At 59.4% G+C, this 18,662-nt stretch overlaps 1 protein-coding gene across 2 annotated transcripts, besides 6 other annotated features; it reads left to right on the top strand.

Annotated features, from left to right (window-relative positions):
* Positions 7,015-7,294: a silencer, noted in NCBI's record as "silent region_6956". NCBI's record gives its function as "represses an Ori minimal core promoter by ATAC-STARR-seq in GM12878 lymphoblastoid cells {active_cell/tissue: GM12878}" and the evidence as "EXISTENCE:reporter gene assay evidence [ECO:0000049][PMID:35858748]".
* Positions 7,278-7,873: an enhancer, noted in NCBI's record as "H3K27ac-H3K4me1 hESC enhancer chr16:790544-791139 (GRCh37/hg19 assembly coordinates)". NCBI's record gives its function as "activates a minimal SCP1, AML or CMV promoter by ChIP-STARR-seq in primed H9 embryonic stem cells {active_cell/tissue: H9 hESC(primed)}" and the evidence as "EXISTENCE:reporter gene assay evidence [ECO:0000049][PMID:30033119]".
* Positions 7,278-8,094: a biological region, named in NCBI's record as "H3K27ac-H3K4me1 hESC enhancer GRCh37_chr16:790544-791139".
* Positions 7,365-7,424: a silencer, noted in NCBI's record as "silent region_6955". NCBI's record gives its function as "represses an Ori minimal core promoter by ATAC-STARR-seq in GM12878 lymphoblastoid cells {active_cell/tissue: GM12878}" and the evidence as "EXISTENCE:reporter gene assay evidence [ECO:0000049][PMID:35858748]".
* On the top strand, positions 7,420-18,652 carry CIAO3 (cytosolic iron-sulfur assembly component 3). Of its 2 annotated transcripts, NM_001304799.2 has the most exons (12): positions 7,420-7,497; positions 8,314-8,395; positions 8,679-8,774; positions 11,088-11,231; positions 12,019-12,151; positions 13,546-13,680; positions 14,070-14,188; positions 14,990-15,119; positions 16,044-16,116; positions 16,715-16,852; positions 17,417-17,574; positions 17,762-18,652. In NM_001304799.2, exons 5-12 carry the CDS (start codon positions 12,019-12,021, stop codon positions 17,998-18,000), a joined length of 1,125 nt encoding a protein of 374 aa, NP_001291728.1. In that variant the 5' UTR covers positions 7,420-7,497; positions 8,314-8,395; positions 8,679-8,774; positions 11,088-11,231; the 3' UTR covers positions 18,001-18,652. The 2 variants fall into 2 exon arrangements, with proteins under 2 accessions (NP_001291728.1, NP_071938.1); NM_022493.3 differs by lacking the exon at positions 8,314-8,395.
* Positions 7,795-8,094: a silencer, noted in NCBI's record as "silent region_6954". NCBI's record gives its function as "represses an Ori minimal core promoter by ATAC-STARR-seq in GM12878 lymphoblastoid cells {active_cell/tissue: GM12878}" and the evidence as "EXISTENCE:reporter gene assay evidence [ECO:0000049][PMID:35858748]".
* Positions 10,434-10,728: an enhancer, noted in NCBI's record as "tiled region #977; HepG2 Activating non-DNase unmatched - State 15:Elon, and K562 Activating non-DNase unmatched - State 14:Gen5'". NCBI's record gives its function as "activates a minimal TATA promoter and a strong SV40 promoter by Sharpr-MPRA in HepG2 and K562 cells {active_cell/tissue: HepG2 | K562}" and the evidence as "EXISTENCE:reporter gene assay evidence [ECO:0000049][PMID:27701403]".

Raw genomic sequence — 18,662 nt, 5'->3', positions numbered from 1 at the left:
GGTGCGTGTGGGGTGGGGCATGGGCCACACGCGGGGAGGCAGTCTGGGTCCAACCACAGGTGGAAATGGCCGCCAGCACCCCACACTTTCCTACAAAAAGGCACTTTCTCTCCAAGTTTTATGAATAACAGGCTGCACGGGGCCACCCACCGGCGAGCCCGGGGCCCGGCAGCCTTTCCCATGTTCCCTCTGCCACCCGGGAGGCAGGGCCTCGGGAGCCCTCGAGCACATCAGCCCGAGCGGCGGGAAGTTTCTGCAGACTGGAGGGTGTGCCCCCCACGTCCACCCAGCTTCCCACAGGAGCCAGCATCTCCATACTTATTTTGTACTGTTATTTGAGATGGGGTCTTGCTCTGTTGCCCAGGCCGGAGTGCAGTGGTGCAATAACGGCTCACTACAGCCTCGACCTCCCGGGTCCAGGCAATTCTCCTACCTCAGCCTCCTGAGTAGCTAGGACCACAGGCATGCATCACTGCACCGACTCATTATTTTGTAGGAACGAGGTCTCAATATGTTGCCCAGGCTGCTCTCAAACTCCTGGGCTCAAGCGATCCTCCCACCTTAGTCTCCCGAAGTGTTGCCATTACCAGTGTGAGCCGCCACCTCGGGCCTCATCTCCACATTCCTGTTGGGTACCACGCCGCCCCAAGGCCATGCTGGCCTACCCTGCACTCTGTTGCCTGGCTCTGGCCCTCTGGGAAGCTCATCCTGGTGTCCTGCACATCAGTGGCCACACAGGTGGGGGAGTTGGAGGATTCACCTTCCCCACTTATGTGAGTTCATTCCCACACTGCTATAAAGACACTGCCTGAGACTGGGTAATTTATAAACAAAGAGGTCTGGCCGGACGCAGTGGCTCACACCTGTAATCCCAGCACTTTGGGAGGCCGAGGCGGGCGGATCACCTGATGTCAGAAGTTCAAGACTAGCCTGGCCAACATGGTGAAACCTTGTCTCAACTAAACATACAAAAATTAGCCGGGTGTGGTGGTGGGCACCTGTAGTCCCAGCTACTCGGAGGTTGAGGCAGGAGAATCGCTTGAACTCAGGAGGCAGAGGTTGCAGTGAGCTGAGATTGCGCCACTGCACTCCAGCCTGGGCAACAAGAGTGAGACTCTGCCTCAAAAATAAAAAATATAAAAATAAAAGAAAGAGGTTTAATTAACTCCCAGTTCCACAGGGCTGGGGAGGCCTCAGGAAACTTACGATCATGGCGGAAGGTGAAGGACGCAGGCACGTCTCACGTGGCAGGAGGCGAGAGAGTGGAGGGGGAGCTGCCACTTATAAACCAGCAGCCCCCGTGAGAACTCACCATCACGAGAACAGCATGTGGAAACCCTCCTCCATGATCCAATCACCTCCCTCCCTCGACACAGGGATTACAGTTCGAGATGAGATTTGTGTGAGGACACAGAACCAAACCATATCACCCCACCCCCCCACCAGGCAGCCCCTGGGCCCCCAAACCTAAACCCAGGTTCTATGGCGAGAACCAACAATAGCACTGCTCTCGGAGGGTGGCCCTGCGGGGTGGGGTGGGGCGGAACCACCGTGGACCCCAGTTGCTGCTCCCTAGCCCTGTGTGTGATGGGGGCATCTGGCCTGGTGTGTCCTTCGGGCCTTGGAAACCACACGGGCTGAGTCTGAGTGCACGTCCTGCAGCCCGGCCAGACAGACCCGCAATGAACCCACCTCCTCTCCTGCTGCCCAGCCAGGCAGACCCGCAGTGAACCCACCTCCCCTCCTGCTGCCCAGCCAGACAGACCCGCAGTGACCCCACCTCTCCCCTCCTGCTGCCCAGCCAGACAGACCTGCAGTGAACCCACCTCCTCTCCTGCTGCCCAGCCAGACAGACCTGCAGTGAACCCACCTCCTCTCCTGCAGCCCGCCCAGACAGACCCGCAGTGACCCCACCTCCTCTCCTGCAGCCCGCCCAGACAGACCTGCAGTGAACCCACCTCCTCTCCTGCTGCCCAGCCAGACAGACCTGCAGTGACCCCACCTCTCCCCTCCTGCAGCCCTGCAGACCCGCAGTGACCCCACCTCTCCCCTCCTGCTGCCCAGCCAGACAGACCTGCAGTGAACCCACCTCCTCTCCTGCTGCCCAGCCAGGCAGACCCGCAGTGAACCCACCTCCTCTCCTGCTGCCCAGCCAGGCAGACCCGCAGTGAACCCACCTCTCCCCTCCTGCAGCCCTGCAGACCCGCAGTGACCCCACCTCTCCCCTCCTGCCACCCAGCCAGACAGACCCGCAGTGACCCCACCTCTCCTTTCCCAGTTCCTGGAAGCAGAGGCCTTGATGGAACACAGGAAAGCTCAGTAAACGTTTTGAAATCAGACGTTCAGGAAAAATTAGTTAATTTTGGAAAACTCAGCTCTCCTCCCCAGGAACTCCTGACCTGAGGGGGGTTTATTCCCCCTTTACGGGGTTGTGGCACCTGCCGGCCCCCGTGGGCTCCGCAGCACCACCTGCCGGCCCTCAGCCAACCTGGGCTGCATCCCGTCCACCGGACTCACAGGCCCCACCTCCACCCCGCCCGCCCCTTGCGGGCCAGCCCAGCCCCCACACAGCCTCCCTGAGCCACATACCCGGTTAGGAGGTGGAAAGCATCTCTTTGTCGAGGGTCCCACAAGAACCTGAAATGAGGGCTGTGGTGGCTGAAGGGCAGCCTCCCAAAAGATACAACCAGGCCAGGCCCAGTGGCTCACGCTGTAATCCCAGCACTGGGGGGCCGAGGTGGAAGGATCACTTGAGCCCAGGAGTTCGAGACCAGCCTGGCCAACATGGTGAAACCCTGTCTTTTTTTTTTTTTGAGACAGAGTCTCACTCTGTTGCCCAGGCTGCAGTGCAGTGGTGCGATCTCAGCTCATTGCAAGCTCCACCTCCCAGGTTCACGCCATTCTCCTGCCTCAGCCTCCTGAGTAGCTGGGACTACAGGCACCCGCCACCACGCCCAGCTAATTTTTTCTATTTTCAGTAGAGACGGGGTTTCACCGCGTTAGCCAGGATGGTCTCGATCTCCTGACCTTGTGATCCGCCGGCCTCGGCCTCCCAAAGTGCTGGGATTACAGGTGTGAGCCAACGCGCCCAGCCCCGTCTTTAATAAAAATATAAAAATTAGCTAGGCCTGGTGATGGACTCCTGTAGTACCAGCTGCTCAGGAGGCTGAGGCAGGAGAATCGCTTGAATCCTGCAGGCAGAGGCTGCAGTGAGCCAAGATCCTGCCACTGTACTCCAGTCTGGGCAACAAGAGCGAAACTCCGTCTCAAAAAAAAATAATAATAAAGGCCGGGTGCAGTGGCTCACGCCTGTAATCCCCGCACTTTGGAAGGCTGAGGTGGGCAAATCATGAGGTCAGGAGATCAAGACCATCCTGGCTAACATGGTGAAACCCCATTTCTACTGAAAATACAAAAATTAGCCAGGCGTGGTGGCAGGAGCCTGTAATCCCAACTACTTGGGAGGCTGAGGCAGAATTGCTTGAACCCGGAAGGCAGAGGTTGCAGTGAGCCAAGCTTGTGCCACTGCATTCCAGCCTGGGTGACAGAGTGAGACTCTGTCTCAAAAAATAATAATAATACTCATGCCTATAATCCCAGCACTTTGGGAGGCCGAGGCCGGCAGATCACGAGGTCAGAAGATTGTGCCCATCTTGGCTAACACATGGTGAAACCCCGTCTCTAGTAAAAATACAAAAAAATTAGCCACGTGTGGTGGTGGGCGCCTGTAGTACCAGCTACTCGGGAAGCTGAGAGAGGAGAATGGCGTGAACCCAGGAGGTGGGGCTTGCAGTGAGCTGAGATGGTGCCACTGCACTCCAGCCTGGGCAACAGAGTGAGACTCCATCTCAAAAGAATAATAATAATAATAATAACAGTAAAAATAGCCAGGCATGGTGGCGCACACCTGTAGTCCCAGCTACTTGGGAGGCTGAGGCCGGAGGATCTCTTGAGCCCGGGAGGCTGAGGCTATAGTGAGCTGTGATCACACCACTGCACTCCAGCCTGGGAAGAGAGCAAGACACTGTATCAAGAAAAAAAAAATGTGCTGGAGCGACACAGTCACAGACCAAGGACAACTGGAGCCCCTGGAAGCTGGAGAAAGCAGGAAGGGTCCTCCCTGCAGCCTCCAGAGGGAGCACGGTGAATGACACCATGACCTCAGATGTGTGGCCTCCACAGCTAGTAGGGGACGCATCTCTGTTGCTTTCACCCCGGCGTGTTGTCATTTGTTACGGGAGCCTCAGGAGACAGGCACAGGATGATCCCTTCCGAGGGTGAAGCTCTGACACCAACCCAGGAGAGGGGACCAGGTGGCTCTACCAGTATCATGACCCCGGACCAGCAAGAGGATGCTAGCATGCAACCTCCCACCCAACCACCGGGGGCGGCTGTAGGCAAAGGGGGGTCCTGTGGGTGCCCGCAGAGCAGACGCCTCCACCAGGCATCCCTTCCAGCCCAGGGAAAGGGGGTGCCCATACACAGTCACAGCATCACAGCAACCTGGGGTCCGGCCGGCCTCGCCCTATGTCCCCAGCCGGCCCTCGTGTCCCCCCGTGCCCTCCCTGGGTTCCCTGGCCCTGGCTCAGGGACTAGCACGTGGGAAGTGCATGGTAAATACTCGCTAATGACGATGATTAAACAATCTGCAAAACAGAAAGCAGGGACCCCAGAGGCACGAGGTTGGCACTAGAGCTCAGGGGCTCCAGGGAAATGTCTGTGAGTTAATGAAGAACCCCGCCCCAGCTCCACCCGGAGCAGCAAGAGGAAGCTCACCTAAAGACCCTTCCCTTATCCCAACAGCCCTCCTCACTCTCACATTTTCTGTAAACCCACTCCACTGCATTTCAGTGGCACTAAGTTTCTTTCGTATTTTTTTTCTTTTTTTTTTTTTTTGAGACGGGGTCTCGCCCTGTCGCCCAGGCTGGAGTGCAGTGGTGCCGTCTCGGCTCACTGCAAGCTCCGCCTCCCGGGTTCACACCATTCTCCTGCCTCAGCCTCCCCAGTAGCTGGGACTACAGGCGCCCGCCACTACACCCGGATAATTTTTTTTTTTTTATATTTTTAGTAGAGACAGGGTTTCACTGTGTTAGCCAGGATGGTCTTGATCTCCTGACCTCATGATCTGCCGGCCTCGGCCTCCCGAAGTGCTGGGATTACAGGCGTGAGCCATCGCACCCGGCCTCGTGTTTTGTTTTTCTTTCTTCTTTTAGATGGAGTCTCGCTCAGTCGCCCAGGCTGGAGTACAATGGTGCGATCTCAGCTCACTGCAACCTCTGCCTCCTGGGTTCAAGTGATTCTCCTGTCTCAAACTCCCGAGTAGCTAGGACTACAGGCACGTGCCACCACGCCTGATAAGTTTTTTTTTTTTGAGACAGTGTCTTAGTCTGTTGCTCAGGCTAGAGTGCAATGGTGCTATCTCAGCTCACCACAACCTCCACCTCCCAGGCTCAAGCGATTCTCCTGCCTCACCCTCCTTAGTACCTGGGATTCCAGGCACAAACCACCATGCTGGGCTAATTTTTATATTTTTAGTAGAGATGGGGTTTCACCATGTTGGCCAGGGTGGTCTTGAACTCCTGACCTCAAATGATCCACCTGCCTCAGCCCCACAATGTGCTGGGATTACAGGCGTGAGCCACCGCGCCCAGCCTAATTTTTGTATTTTTAGTAGACGGGGTTTCACCATGTTGGCTGGGCTGGTCACAAACTCCTGACCTCGGGTGATCCACCCACCTGGGCCTCCCAAAGCGCTGGTGAGCCACCGCACCCGACCCCCTGTTCTATTTTTAATAGAAGATATTTCAGCCCCTAATCTCCAAGCTCGGCCAGGTATTGCCAGGTGGCGGGATGGCTGGGACCTGGAAGCTCACCTGGCCCAGGTGCTGGGGAAAGCTCCTCCGTGCAGCAGCAGAAGAAAGTCCTGTCTGGCCGAGAGGAGCAGCTGCAGGTGATGGAGAAGGCCACACAGGCTGGTGGCCCAAACCCCACAGGCAGGTGCAGGAGTGCCCAGGCCGCATCCAGGTGGGGACATGTGGTCAGAATCAGGGCCTAGAACCCTGGGGAGGGTGCGGCGCAGGCTGGGACCTAGGATGTTGCCACTGTGAGATCTCCATGGGCTGAGCCTGCTTGGGCCGGAAAGATGCCAGCCTCGATCCAGGAGTTTCCTGAAAAGTCCCCATAAAACTGGCCATTAGACATGTAACTGGCCATATGATGCCAGATATACATGTAACTGGCCAGGCGCGGTGGCTCATGCCCGTAATCCCAGCGCTTTGGGAGGCTGAGGTGGGTGGATCACTAGGTAAGGAGTTCAAGACCAGCCTGGCCAACATGGTGAAACCCAGTCTCTAATTAAAACTACAAACATTAGCCGGATGCAATGGCAGGTGACTGTAATCCCAGCTACTCGGGAAGCTGAGGCAGGAGAATTGCTTGAACCCAGGCGGCAGAGGTTGCAGTGAGCCGAGATCGCGCCACTGCACTCCAGCCTGGGCAACAGAGTGAGACTCTGTCTCAAAAAAGAAAAAAAAAAAAGTGAGTCGGGGTCGGGCGCGGTGGCTCACGCCTGTAATCCCAGCACTTTGGGAAGCTGAGGCGGGCAGATCACGAGGTCAGGAGTTCGAGACCATCCTGGCTAACACGGTGAAACCCCGTCTCTACTAAAAATACAAAAAATTAGCCGGGCGTGGTGGTGGGCGCCTGTAGTCCCAGCTACTCGGGAGGCTGAGGCAGGAGAATCGCTTGAACCCAGGAGGTAGAGCTTGCAGTGAGCCGAGATCGCGCCATTGCACTCCAGCCTGGACGACAGAGCGAGACTCTGTCTCAAAAAAAGAAAAAAACGAAAAGCGAGTCGGCCCACAGGGTCCTGTTTCAGGGTCTCCCAGGGGCATGGACTTTTCCAGACTGGTCTCCAAGATAACAGAAAAAGGGGCTGGAGGCCCTGGGAGCGGCTCCCCAGGAAGGGGAGACCTCGTGCCTATCCATGCTTTCTTCCCTGCCTGAATTCCCCAACACGAGCTGAGCGCCTCCTGTGTGCCAGGCGCGTTCCGGGTTCTTGGGTTGCATCCGGGAGCACCTGGTCCGCAGGTACGCAGAGGATGAGGAAATGGACGGAGCCAGATCCCCTCCGCTTCCTTGTGAAGGCGGAGAGACTCCGGGGCCGGAGCTGCGGCGCTGGCCCGACCAACCCCTGCGCCCCCTGCACCCCAACCCGGGGCCTGGGGCGCGCGGGAGGTGGACGAAGCGGTAGGTCCCGGGTTCCCGCGAGGTGGGCGGGGAGCCGCAGCGCCGGGGCTCGTCAGCAGAGGGCGCCGGCCCCGGGACGAGGTGCGCATGCGTCCTGGGGGCGCTTTCCGGCAGCGTGGCGGAACCAGCCACTTCGTTTCGCGCCGTTTAGCGACACCTGCGCGCGGCGGCAGTGCGGCCGTCATGGCGTCGCCCTTCAGCGGGGCGCTGCAGCTGACGGACCTGGATGACTTCATCGGGCCGTCTCAGGTGGGCCGGCCTGGGCGGGCGGGGTCGAGGCTGCGCTCGGTGCCCTGTCGCGCGGAGGGAAATTGCTCTGCGCCCCACTTCCTCCCCTGAGGAATGAGATCCGAATCCCGGGAGCCCGGTCTGGGCCGTCAGGGACTCTATCGACCCGGGCGCGGGGCCTCAGACACTGAGGCCCGCTTCTTACCAACAAGGAAACTGAGGCCAGGGAGGGCGGCGCCCCCCAACCCGCTCCTGTGCCCCATGGTGTCCGGGCGGGCTGCGTGGGAGGGTCCCGTGGTCGCGGGCTCGCGCCGGCCTGCCCAACCCAGAGGAGGCAGCAGAGGCGGCTCCCACACATCCCTAACCCTAACCCGACCCCTGGGTCGCAGCTGGAGGGCGGCGGGGCCCGGGCCGGGGCCTCTTCCCCTTCCCCTGCGCAGGACGCCTTGTCAGGCCTCAGGACCCCCAAGCCACAGCCTTTGCATCTGCATAAACGGGTGCGGTGGGGACCCCACCTCATTTGAGGGCAGTAGGGGCGGCCCGCTAGACGCCCCGCAGTGGCTCCTCAGTAGAGCTGTCCTTAACGTCGCCCTGGTGGGCCGGACAGCTACCCTTGAACCCGGGAGGCTGCAGGCGCCCTTTTCTGGGTGCACCTGCCTGTCCATGTCCAACAGCCCCGCGGGGCCAGAGCTGAGCAGGGCGAGAGGCGGGCTGCTGGGAGCGCTTCCGGCAGGGATGAGCTGGGAGGCGGCTTTCTGGGCTGCCAGGGTTCTCAAGGAGAAGAGAGAGAAATCCACTTGTTTCCCGGGCACTGAGCAGGAGGTGGTCTCCAAACAGATCCAAGCACACGTCCTCTCGATGGGCAGTGCAACTCTGGTCTCTGTGGTGGTCACGCCCCCTGTTCACGTGAAGGGTGAAGGTCAGTGTTGGTGGTGTCTCCGCAGGTGGGTAGTTTGCAGGCGCTGTTAGCACTGGCCTTCCTGCACACTGGGAACTTCAGTGCCGCAGGATGTTGGGAACCCGATCCCTGGGTGAGAGCAGTGGGGCAGGAAGAAGACGGTGGGACCAGCCTCAGTCCCTGAGTGCATGGCTCCTGGCAGAGCCTTCAGGCTGTGCGGCTGGGCAGCCATCCTTGAGGCCTGGCCTCCCAGGGAACCTCCGCCCACTCACAGGGGCTGATTTGGGGTCTCTTCCTGCTCTAGGAGTGCATCAAGCCTGTCAAAGTGGAAAAAAGGGCGGGAAGTGGCGTGGCCAAGATTCGCATTGAAGATGACGGGAGCTACTTCCAAATTAACCAAGTAAGGCACAGGAGGCTGCTCCACCATCTCTCCTGCCCGGCTGATCCGAAACACTTTTCTCTGCTTCCTCCCGTCACAGAGCGGTGACCCCGAGACACTCCAGGTCTCACCAGTCTTTTCCCACTGGTCGAATTCACCTGCCATCTGGGAGGCTGGGGGTCAGGGTGCCTGGGGCAGGTGAATGAGCAGCACCCAGGCCAAACAGCTTGATCTGCTCAGCAGAGGGGCTATTTGCAGAGATGGTGGATCCTGTCTGCGTCTGCCTGTTCCCCCTAGTTCTAACCATGTAAGATTTTCTAATTCAGACCCCTCGTTCTTTTGTTTGTTTGTTTGTTTGTTTGTTTGATACAGAGTCTCCCTCGATGGCCCAGGCTGGAGTGCAGTGGCATGATCTCGGCTCACTGCAAGCTCTGCCTCCCAGGTTCACACCATTCTCCTGCCTCAGCCTCCCGAGTAGCTGGGACTACAGGCGGCCACCACCACGCCCAGCTAATGTTTTTTGTATTTTTAGTAGAGACGGGGTTTCACCGTGTTAGCCAGGATGGTCTCAATCTCCTGACCTCGTGATCCACCCGCCTTGGCCTCCCAAAGTGCTGGGATTACAGGCGTGAGCCACCGCGCCCAGCCCAGACCCCTCATTCTTAAAGAATAGTACTTCCTCTCTAAGTGATAAGATCCTGATGAAACTGTTAAAATTCAGGCTGGGCGCGGTGGCTCACGCTTGTAATCCCAGCACTTTGGGAGGCCAGGGTAGGGGGGGCGGATCACCTGAGGTCAGGAGTTCGAGACCAGCCTGGCCAACCCCCATCTGTACTAAAAATACAAAAATTAGTTGGGTGTCGTGGCGCATGCCTGTAATCCCAGCTACTCAAGAGGGTGAGGCAGGAGAATCACTTGAACCTGGGAGATAGGGACTGCAGTGAACCAAGATTGCTCCACTGCACTCCAGCCTGAGAGACAGAGACTCCATCTCAAAAAAATAAAGAAACTGGGCCTGGCGCGGTGGCTCAGGCCTGTAATCCCAGCACTTTGGGAGGCCGAGGCGGGTGGATCACGAGGTCAGGAGATCGAGACCATCCTGGCTAACACGGTGAAACCCCGTCTCTACTAAAAATACAAAAAAAAAAATTAGCTGGGCGTGGTGGCCGGCGCCTGTAGTCCCAGCTACCGGGAAGCTGAGGCAGGAGAATGGCGTGAGCCTGGGAGGCGGAGTTTGCAGTGAGCCGAGATCGCACCACTGCACTCTAGCCTGGGTGACAGAGCGAGACTCCATCTCAAAAAAAAAAAAAAAAAGAAACTATTAAAATTCACCTGTCTGCCATTTGGACTCTAAAAAACGTCTGCCTGATCTCATGAACCACTGCACCAAGAGACGATTTCCAGCCCAGCACTGGGGGCCCAGCCCACAAACGAAGGGAACCCCTGGAAGGTGCTGGGGTGCTGGTAGGCGTGGCTGTCGGTGCAGTGGCAGTTGGTTTGGAGGAGCCTGTCAGCCTCTGCCCAGCACCCTGTGGCAGGCAAGGCTTTGTGCCTTGGGGCAGAACCAACGTAGGAATACAAGGCGAGCTCAGATTGTGATACACAGGCCTAGCAGAGAGCTGGGCTGCGAGGGGTTCCCACACAGTTCCCACCCAGTCGCCTTACTCCTCTGGCTGTATTCCGGGCCACTGCAGCACCCCTGGCCCTGCTCAAACCATTCCTGCCTTTGCAGGAGAAGTTGGGGGAGCTCGAGCTGGGTGCGTTTTGCATGTAAGAAAAGTTGCTGAGGCATGTCCCGGAGGCCCCCGACTGGAACACCTTGTTCCTGCATCTGTTTGGCGAGTCTGACGGTTGTTTCTGCCCCGCCCACCGGAGGCCAGGCTCCCAGGCTTCCTCCCTCTGCTCTCCTCTTCCTGTGCCTTCGTCCTTTCCTCCTTTGTCCTCAGCTTTCCCGCCTCCTCCTTTCAGAGCCCACCTTCGGCATTTTCCTGCCCTACAGCCCTGTGAGTGTGCACCGGGGCCAGCACCCCGTCCAGGGCCCCATGGGTGAGTGGGGTGGCTGCTGCTTTGCTGAGATACCAGTGGCAAGCCTTAGTCCTGTGATTCGGATGCACTAACCAAGTGGTACCAAGAAGCAGACTTGACGGCATTATGAAACTGTAGAGCGTGCGTGTGCATTTTTGTAATACATACCTAATTTTTAAAAATTCAGCGGCACACAAGCCCAGCCAGCAGCCATGTTGGTTGTCGGTTATGAGCTGGACTCCACTATCCTCTGTCTCCATGTCCTCGTGCAGAGGGGGCCCCTGTGCACCGGGTTCTTCTCCCTTGTAGGACGGCGGGACCCGGAGGCTGGAGAAGGCCAAGGTCTCGCTAAACGACTGCCTGGCGTGCAGCGGCTGCATCACCTCCGCAGAGACCGTGCTTATCACCCAGCAGAGCCACGAGGAGCTGAAGAAGGTTCTAGATGCTAACAAGGTAAGCAGTGGTCGGCCTGGTGACTCTGCTTTAACCTGAAATCCATCCCAGCAGCCGACAACGCGTTTTGCCAAGGGCAGCTCGTGTGGTGCCGACGTCCGTCGTGCGGGTGGCGCCTGCCTTTTTGAGGCTTGGAATCTTGGTGATTTGTCAGTGGGCTCCAGTGGTGAACGTGTCAGGCCCCAAACTTCAGGTTCTAAATATACATCAAAATGACACCCCTACTGGGCGCGGGGGCTCACGCCTGTCATACCAGCACTTTGGGAGGCTGAGCCGGGTGGATCACCTGAGGTCAGGAGTTCGAGACCACCGTGGCCAACATGGTGAAACCCCGTCTCTACTAAAAATACAAGAATTAGCCAGGTGTGGTGGCACATGCCTGTAATCCAAGCTACTAGAGAGGCTGAGGCAGGAGAATCGCTTGAACCCAGGAGACAGAGGTTGCAGTGAGCCGAGATTGCGCCATTACACACCAGCCTGGTGATAGAGTGAGACTCCATCAAAAAAAAACGATACCCTTGGCCAGGCACGGTGGTTCACGCCTGTAATCCCATCTACCCAGGAGGCTGAACCTGGGAGGCGGAGGTTGCATGCAGTGAGCTCCGATCGCACCACTGCACTCCAGCCTGGGCAACAGAGTGAGACTCTGTGTTAAAAAAAAAAAAAAGACTCTTGATGGAGCTGGCCTGCCCTCTCCACAGCTGACAGCATCTCACCGTGCGGCTCTGGCCACCAGGAATCAGCATAAGGCCAGCAGAGTAAGCAGCGTCTTCCCCTTGCTTTGCAGATGGCGGCACCCAGTCAGCAGAGGCTGGTTGTAGTTTCGGTCTCACCACAGTCTAGAGCATCGCTGGCTGCACGGTTTCAGCTGAATCCTACAGATACTGCCAGGAAATTAACCTCATTCTTTAAAAAAATAGGTAGGCTTTGAACCTGGGGTAACACTGCCGCTCCAAATCAAGGGGGCGTCTGAGTAAGCCCAGGCCCCTCGCGCCTCTGAGTCACTGACACGCTACCCAGCCCTGAACTTCAGCGCTACAGAAACTTTATTCCCTCTGTGACCTCAGCCTGAAGTTTTGATTTGACATTTGAGAGCAGGGCCTTCTCACAGAACACGTCTGCATTCTGACTGTGCACTTTCTCTAAGCTGGGGCTGACCAACTCCTTGTACTTTTTAGCTGATAATATTAAGGCACTCTCTCCGGGGCTCTGTTGGGTTCAGCCAAGGTCAGCTTCTGCTGACTTTGGTTATGTGCCTGGAGCTGGGCTTGGGGAGGATCTGGGTGTCTTGAGAGCCCCCAGCTAACTAGGCTCCAGTGCCTGGTGTCTCACTGGGAATGAAGGGGCTGGACCTCATGGTTACTGTGTGCCTTTCACAGGTAACCACCATGTCCAGTCCCTTCATTCCCAGTGAGGCAGGCCTGTGCGCCTTGTAACCAGCAGACTGCCTGTCATCCAGCTGTGTCCCAGGTCCCTCACACTGGAAACCTGGTGACACTGGCAGGTGCCCCATGGCTCCTGTCTGACCCATATCCAGTTGGTGCCTGAGCAGTGCTCTGGCACTGGGAGCCTGACCTGGTGTCCCAGGGAAAACCTGGCCTGGGGCAGCCCATGGTTCTCCAGATGGAAGGTGTGGATTTCGTCCCCACCAGAATAGGAAGCAAGTTCAAAGATTTTTACTTAGAGATGATGATGACGGGCAAGTGGGGCACAGCGAGTCCTCCGACCACGGGTTACGCGAGGGAGGAATGACAAGTCAGGCAGAGAGAGAGGGACCCACACGCGGGTGCCTCTGCTGGGTCCAGGGCACGATCAGGCAGGTTTACTGAGCAGTTCTAATGGCTGGGCTTGGAGCTGGCTGGCGTGTTCCAGGAGTCCTGCTGTGTGTGAGGGGTGGCCACTATGGTAGGTCTGCACAGTCAGGGTCCGAGGGGCCAGTCCAGCAGGCTGCGTCCAGCTGTGCCCTAGGGAGGGTCACCGGGAGCAGCGCACGTGGCAATTCCCTGGACCAGCCACGCTGAAGAGCTGGGAGGGTGGAGGACTGAGCTGCTGGGTGGCTGCCTCTGGGGTGGGAAACCAAGGCCTGGGTTCACAGGGGATGCCGAGGCAACGTGGCTTTAGGAGGTCCCCACAGTGGGGCTGGGGCTTTGGCGCAACGTGGCTTTAGGAGGTCCCCACGGTGGGGCCGGGGCTTTGGCACGGCAAGCAGGTGCGACACACGTGCCCTGGCAGCACCATGGTGGTCCACACGCCGGCGTGTGCTCGTGTGGGCGTCCCGCATGGGGTTAACCAGGCACCCACCTTCACCTTCCAGGGGTGCACTTCGTCTTCGACACCGCCTTCTCAAGGCACTTCAGCCTCCTGGAGAGCCAGCGAGAGTTTGTGCGGCGATTCCGAGGACAGGCCGACTGCAGACAGGCGCTGCCCCTGCTGGCCTCTGCCTGCCCAGGTGTGCTCATGGTGCGGGTGGTGGGAGAGTCAAGTTCAAGTGCAGTTGAAACGTGAGGTGATATGGACACAAATGACAAGGCGGGGGCATGGGGGGTGGAGACGCAAGCAGGTTTTGCGGGACGGGTTGGAAATGTTGGCACAAATGGCCTTTTCTGGAGAAGAGGCTGCCCTCCCGTGGGAGCCACGCGCAGTCACCTCAGGTCCCTAGGCGGTGTCGCCTGCACGCCGAGCTCCGCGTGGTGGTGGGGAGAACAGGAATGAGCACTCTTTAATGTCATCATGATCTCCTGTATGAGCGGGCCCGCCCCCAGAATGTCGTGCTGCTGCCTGTGGGTGCGGGGGCCGCCGTGCGCCCCCGCCAGCCCCGTGTGCCCCCTGTCACCTCAGGCTGGATCTGCTATGCCGAGAAGACTCACGGCAGCTTCATCCTCCCCCACATCAGCACCGCCCGGTCCCCGCAGCAGGTCATGGGCTCCCTGGTCAAGGACTTCTTCGCCCAGCAGCAGGTAACGGCGTTGGGCCAGCCCCAGACTCAGGCTGGGGAGCGGCCAGAAGTGACTTTGCTGGCCTCTTGCCATGAGGCTGCAGGAAACAGAGTCCTCGCTGTGCTGTGCGGCCTTCCCCAGCACACCTCCACCCTTGTTCCCTCCTGGTTCAGGCCCTTCCTCTTCTGCAGCAGAGGGCTTCGTTCTGATCCAGAGGTGCTCACTGCTCACCCAGAGGCAGCCAGGCCTGAGGCTGAGGGAGCAGGAGGCCCTGGGCAGTCCGGGCCTGGAGCCCACCCCTCCGGCCACCAGGTCCACGAGGATGCCCAGCACGACCCCCACCTGAGGCCCAGCGGGATAGAAGCCTGAAGACACTCAGCCAGCAGGGGGCGGGAGAGGGCGAGGGCGGCCCCGGTGGTGCCTGGGCCTCGAGCGCCCATGTCCCCTGCGGCACCTCTTGCCTGACTGCACGCGGATTTTCACCCGGGGCTGGAGCTGGTTGGTTCCCCCGTGACATCCGTTTCCCCGGCTGCTGTGCAGTGAGACGGCCCGAGCCGTGGGAAGGCCACTTCTCCTCCGCTGGACTTGGCTGTTAGGGAGCGCAGGCACACTGGGAATGGGTCAGTGTCATTTTCTGTCACAGCCAGGGCCCGTCCTGTCCAGGGACACATCCGCAGAGCCGGCAGGAGGCTTGCTGGGAAATGGAGTGAGGCTCACTGTCCCTCGGGGTCCGGCCTGGCTGCAGGATGGCTGAGTTCCAGGTCCCGTCTCAGCCACCTTACTGCTGGGATTGGGGAGACAAGTGTTTGTTTCTCCTTGTAGCACTTGACCCCTGACAAGATCTACCACGTCACAGTGATGCCCTGCTATGACAAAAAGCTGGAAGCCTCCAGACCCGACTTTTTCAACCAGGAGCACCAGACACGGGATGTGGACTGTGTCCTCACAACAGGTGCGGTCACGCCGTGCGGCCCTGAGCCCTCAAGCCTCCTGGTCTGATTCCTGAGCCCTGGGCACAGGTGGCGACTGCCCAGGATCCTGCCTGTGGGGGCCCTGGCTGGAGTGTGGGGGCTCGCATGCGTGCACGTACCTTCGTCTCTCCCCTTGGAGCCAGGTGGGCCCATTTGCAGCTGGCCTGTCTTGGGGACCTGCAGCCAGGTGGCGCTCAGTAATACCTCCTTGTTGGCTCTGAAATGAGTCTTTGGAGGTGGGCAGAGATTCTCGAATGCAGCCTCTTCAGCTCCCATGAGTCACCCCATTCCTGAGTCGAGCAGCCCCACAGTCTCCCAAATGTGAGGCAGAAAAGCAAACTGTGGCCGGGCATGGTGGCTCACGCCTGTAATCCCAGCACTTTGGGAGGCAGAGGTGGGTGGATCACGAGGTCAGGAGTTCAAGACCAGCCTGGCCGAGATGATGAAACCCCATGTCTACTAAAAATACGAAAATTAGCCGGGAGTAGTGGTGGTGCTCCTGTAATCCCAGCTACTCGGGAGGCTGAGGCAGGAGAGTCACTTGATCCCGGGGGGCAGAGGTCGTAGTGAGCCGAGATCGTACCATTGCACTCCAGCCTGGGCGGCAGAGTGAGACTCCGTCTCAAAAAAAAAAGAAAAGCAGACTGCCTAAGAGGATGGACAGATGGACACTGGGTGAGCAGAGTGGCCTGGCCGCTGGCACACCTCCCTGGGCAGGACCAGGCAGCCTCCAGAGGGGCTTCAGGAGTGACCGGGCCTGGCCTCCCCACCACGGGCTAGGGTGGACATTTGGGGCCTTCTGGGGCCAAAGTGCAGACTGCTGGGGATGCAGGTGGCTTGGATGTTCTCTGACTTTGTTGCTGGGATCTCCGCTAAAGAGTGTCTGCGCTGTGGCTTCTTTGCAGGAGAAGTTTTCAGGTTGCTGGAGGAAGAGGGCGTCTCCCTCCCCGACCTGGAACCAGCCCCTCTGGACAGCCTGTACGTATGTCTGCCACCAAGAACTGTTATTTTAGCTTCTAACGCTGCCTCTGAGGATAGCATCCCCCTGCTCTGGGCTTGCCTCCCCGCAGCCCATCTTGGCGTCCACAGAAGTGGCTGGATAGCCAGGCGCAGTAGCTCACGCCTGTCACCCCAGCACTTTGGGAGGCCAAGGTGGGCAGATCACCTGAGGTCAGGAGTTCGAGACCAGCTCGGCCAACATGGTGAAACCTCATCTCTACTAAAAATACAAAATTTAGCCAGACATGGTGGTAATCCATGCCAGGCCCTGTAATCCCAGCTACTTGGGAGGTTGAGGCATGAGAATTGCTTGAACCCAGGAGGCGGAGCTTGCAGTGAGCCAAGATCACGCCACTGCACTCCAGCCTGGGCGACAGAGCAAGACTCCGTCTCAAAAAAAAAAACAAGAAGTGGCTGGGCCCCTGTGATGGCTGGTGACACAGGAGCTGTTCCTCTGTGTCTGTGACTTGTCTCCCACCTGGAAATGCAAACGCTCATGTGTGAGGGACAGAGGCCCTGCTCGGGAGGTTGGCAGGCAGCAGCCCCAGCTGTGCTGAGGCCCCTCCCTCCTTGCCAGGTGCAGCGGTGCCTCTGCAGAGGAGCCCACCAGCCATCGGGGAGGGGGCTCGGGGGGCTACCTGGAGCACGTGTTCCGGCACGCGGCCCGAGAGCTCTTTGGAATCCATGTGGCTGAGGTTACCTACAAACCCCTGAGGTCAGTGGGATGGGCCAGATCTCTGGGCAGAGCGGCCACACAGCCCCCAGCCTTCCTCGGGCTGCTGCCTCCCCTGGGGTCCTCCCACAGAGGTGGGCTGGGTGGAGGGCAGCCTGCAGGGTTTGGAGGGGACCCTGGGGCCAGGCAGGGCCCTCCTGGCGGGCTCAGGGTGTGAAGGCACCTAAGCACTCCAGGCCTCAGTCGGCCCATTGTGGGGGATGGTGACCCTGAGCCCGAGAGGCCAGCATGGGCAAAGGTGATGGGTGCCTGGCGCAGGCACGCGACCACATCCCAGGAGGGAGGGCCAGGGCCTCACAGACATCCCTGGGGAGGGAGGCCTGTTTCACAGACAGCCCGAGGCTGGAGGTGAGGTCCCCTGCTGGACTCAAGGAAGTGAGCCTTCCACCCTCTCTCTCCGTTCTTGTCCTTCCCTCTGCCCAGGAGAGAGGGAGAGAGCCCTGGGAGGTACCCGGTCATCCCCTGAAGCCCAGCAGGCCTCCCCTTCCAGGCAGGCAGGAGCCTGGTGGGTGTGCCATGTAGACAAACCCCGCCTGTGCCCCCCAGGAACAAAGACTTCCAGGAGGTGACACTGGAGAAGGAGGGCCAGGTGCTGCTGCACTTCGCAATGGCGTACGGCTTCCGCAACATCCAGAACCTGGTGCAGAGGCTCAAACGAGGGCGCTGCCCCTACCACTACGTGGAGGTCATGGCCTGCCCCTCAGGTAGCTCCTGCAAGGGACAGGACACGAGGACCCCTTCTGGGAGCAGAGCTGTGGGCCACCATCCACCAGGCTGGGAGTGGGAGGAAGTGGGGCACAGAGGGGGCCCGGTCACCTCCCTGCTCCCTGGTGGTCAGGAAGCTTGGCTGGGGCGCAGGCTGTGACCCCTGTCCCGTCTGCTCTCCCATAGGCTGCCTGAACGGCGGGGGCCAGCTCCAGGCCCCAGACAGGCCCAGCAGAGAGCTCCTCCAGCACGTGGAGAGACTGTACGGCATGGTCCGGGCTGAGGCGCCCGAGGACGCGCCTGGGGTTCAGGAGCTGTACACACACTGGCTGCAGGGCACGGACTCGGAGTGTGCAGGTCGCTTGCTGCATACGCAGTACCACGCCGTGGAGAAGGCCAGCACTGGCCTGGGCATCCGGTGGTAGGGGCTGCAGGACCAGGACTCCCAGGAGGCCGTGTCCATGTGTGACAGCAGAACCACATGCCCCAAGACCCCAGGGCTTCCCCCAAAATTCTGAGTGAGCTGCAGGGTGTGCTGGGACCCGAGTAGGAGCTAGGACTAGCCAGGACCCGCAGCCGCCTCGTCACCTCCAGTTGGGTGCCTCTGGGTTCCCACTGGCTCTGCCCAGGTGGGGTGGGGTGGCCCAGGCAGCAGAAGGTTCCCTGAGGTCCCAGAGCCTGTTCCGTTGGCCCTGGGCCGAGGCCCACAGGTGCTGCCCTTGCTGCTGCTGGTCGGGCACCCAAGTGCGTGAGGGGCTTCAGCCTGTCCCGGGGTTGCCTGAGGCAGAGCAAGACGGGTTCTCACCCCTGACTTCTGGAGGCTTCCCTTGAAGCTCTGTGCAAAAGGTGGGAGACAGAGCTGGACCTGCAGGGGTGGTCCCGCCACAACCCTGCGTGTGGACCCTGGCAGGGGGGGGTGCCAGGCCCCTGGAAAGCAGGGGTTACCGTTACGAGGCTGTGGTCCGGGGCAAGCCAAGTACGAAGCAGCAGCCATCGCGGGCTGCATCATCCCCCAGCCAGGTCCCCACCAGGCCTGTCTCCCAGCGTTTGTCTAATAAACGCACCCCTCCTAAAACACGCCTACGAA

Source organism: Homo sapiens, chromosome 16 (assembly GCF_000001405.40).
Source record: "Homo sapiens chromosome 16, GRCh38.p14 Primary Assembly".
Lineage (NCBI taxonomy): Eukaryota > Metazoa > Chordata > Mammalia > Primates > Hominidae > Homo > Homo sapiens.
The sequence above is the reverse complement of the archived record's forward strand: the minus strand, read 5'-3'. Positions and strand labels throughout refer to the sequence as shown.

Coding starts and splice junctions, on each gene's coding strand:
- CIAO3 (NM_022493.3), top strand. CDS start 7,432: ATGGCGTCGCCCTTCAGCGGGGCGCTGCAGCTGACGGACCTGGATGAC. Junction 14,189..14,989: donor ACTTCTTCGCCCAGCAGCAG/GTAACGGCGTTG, acceptor TTCTCCTTGTAG/CACTTGACCCCTGACAAGAT. Junction 17,575..17,761: donor GGTCATGGCCTGCCCCTCAG/GTAGCTCCTGCA, acceptor GCTCTCCCATAG/GCTGCCTGAACGGCGGGGGC.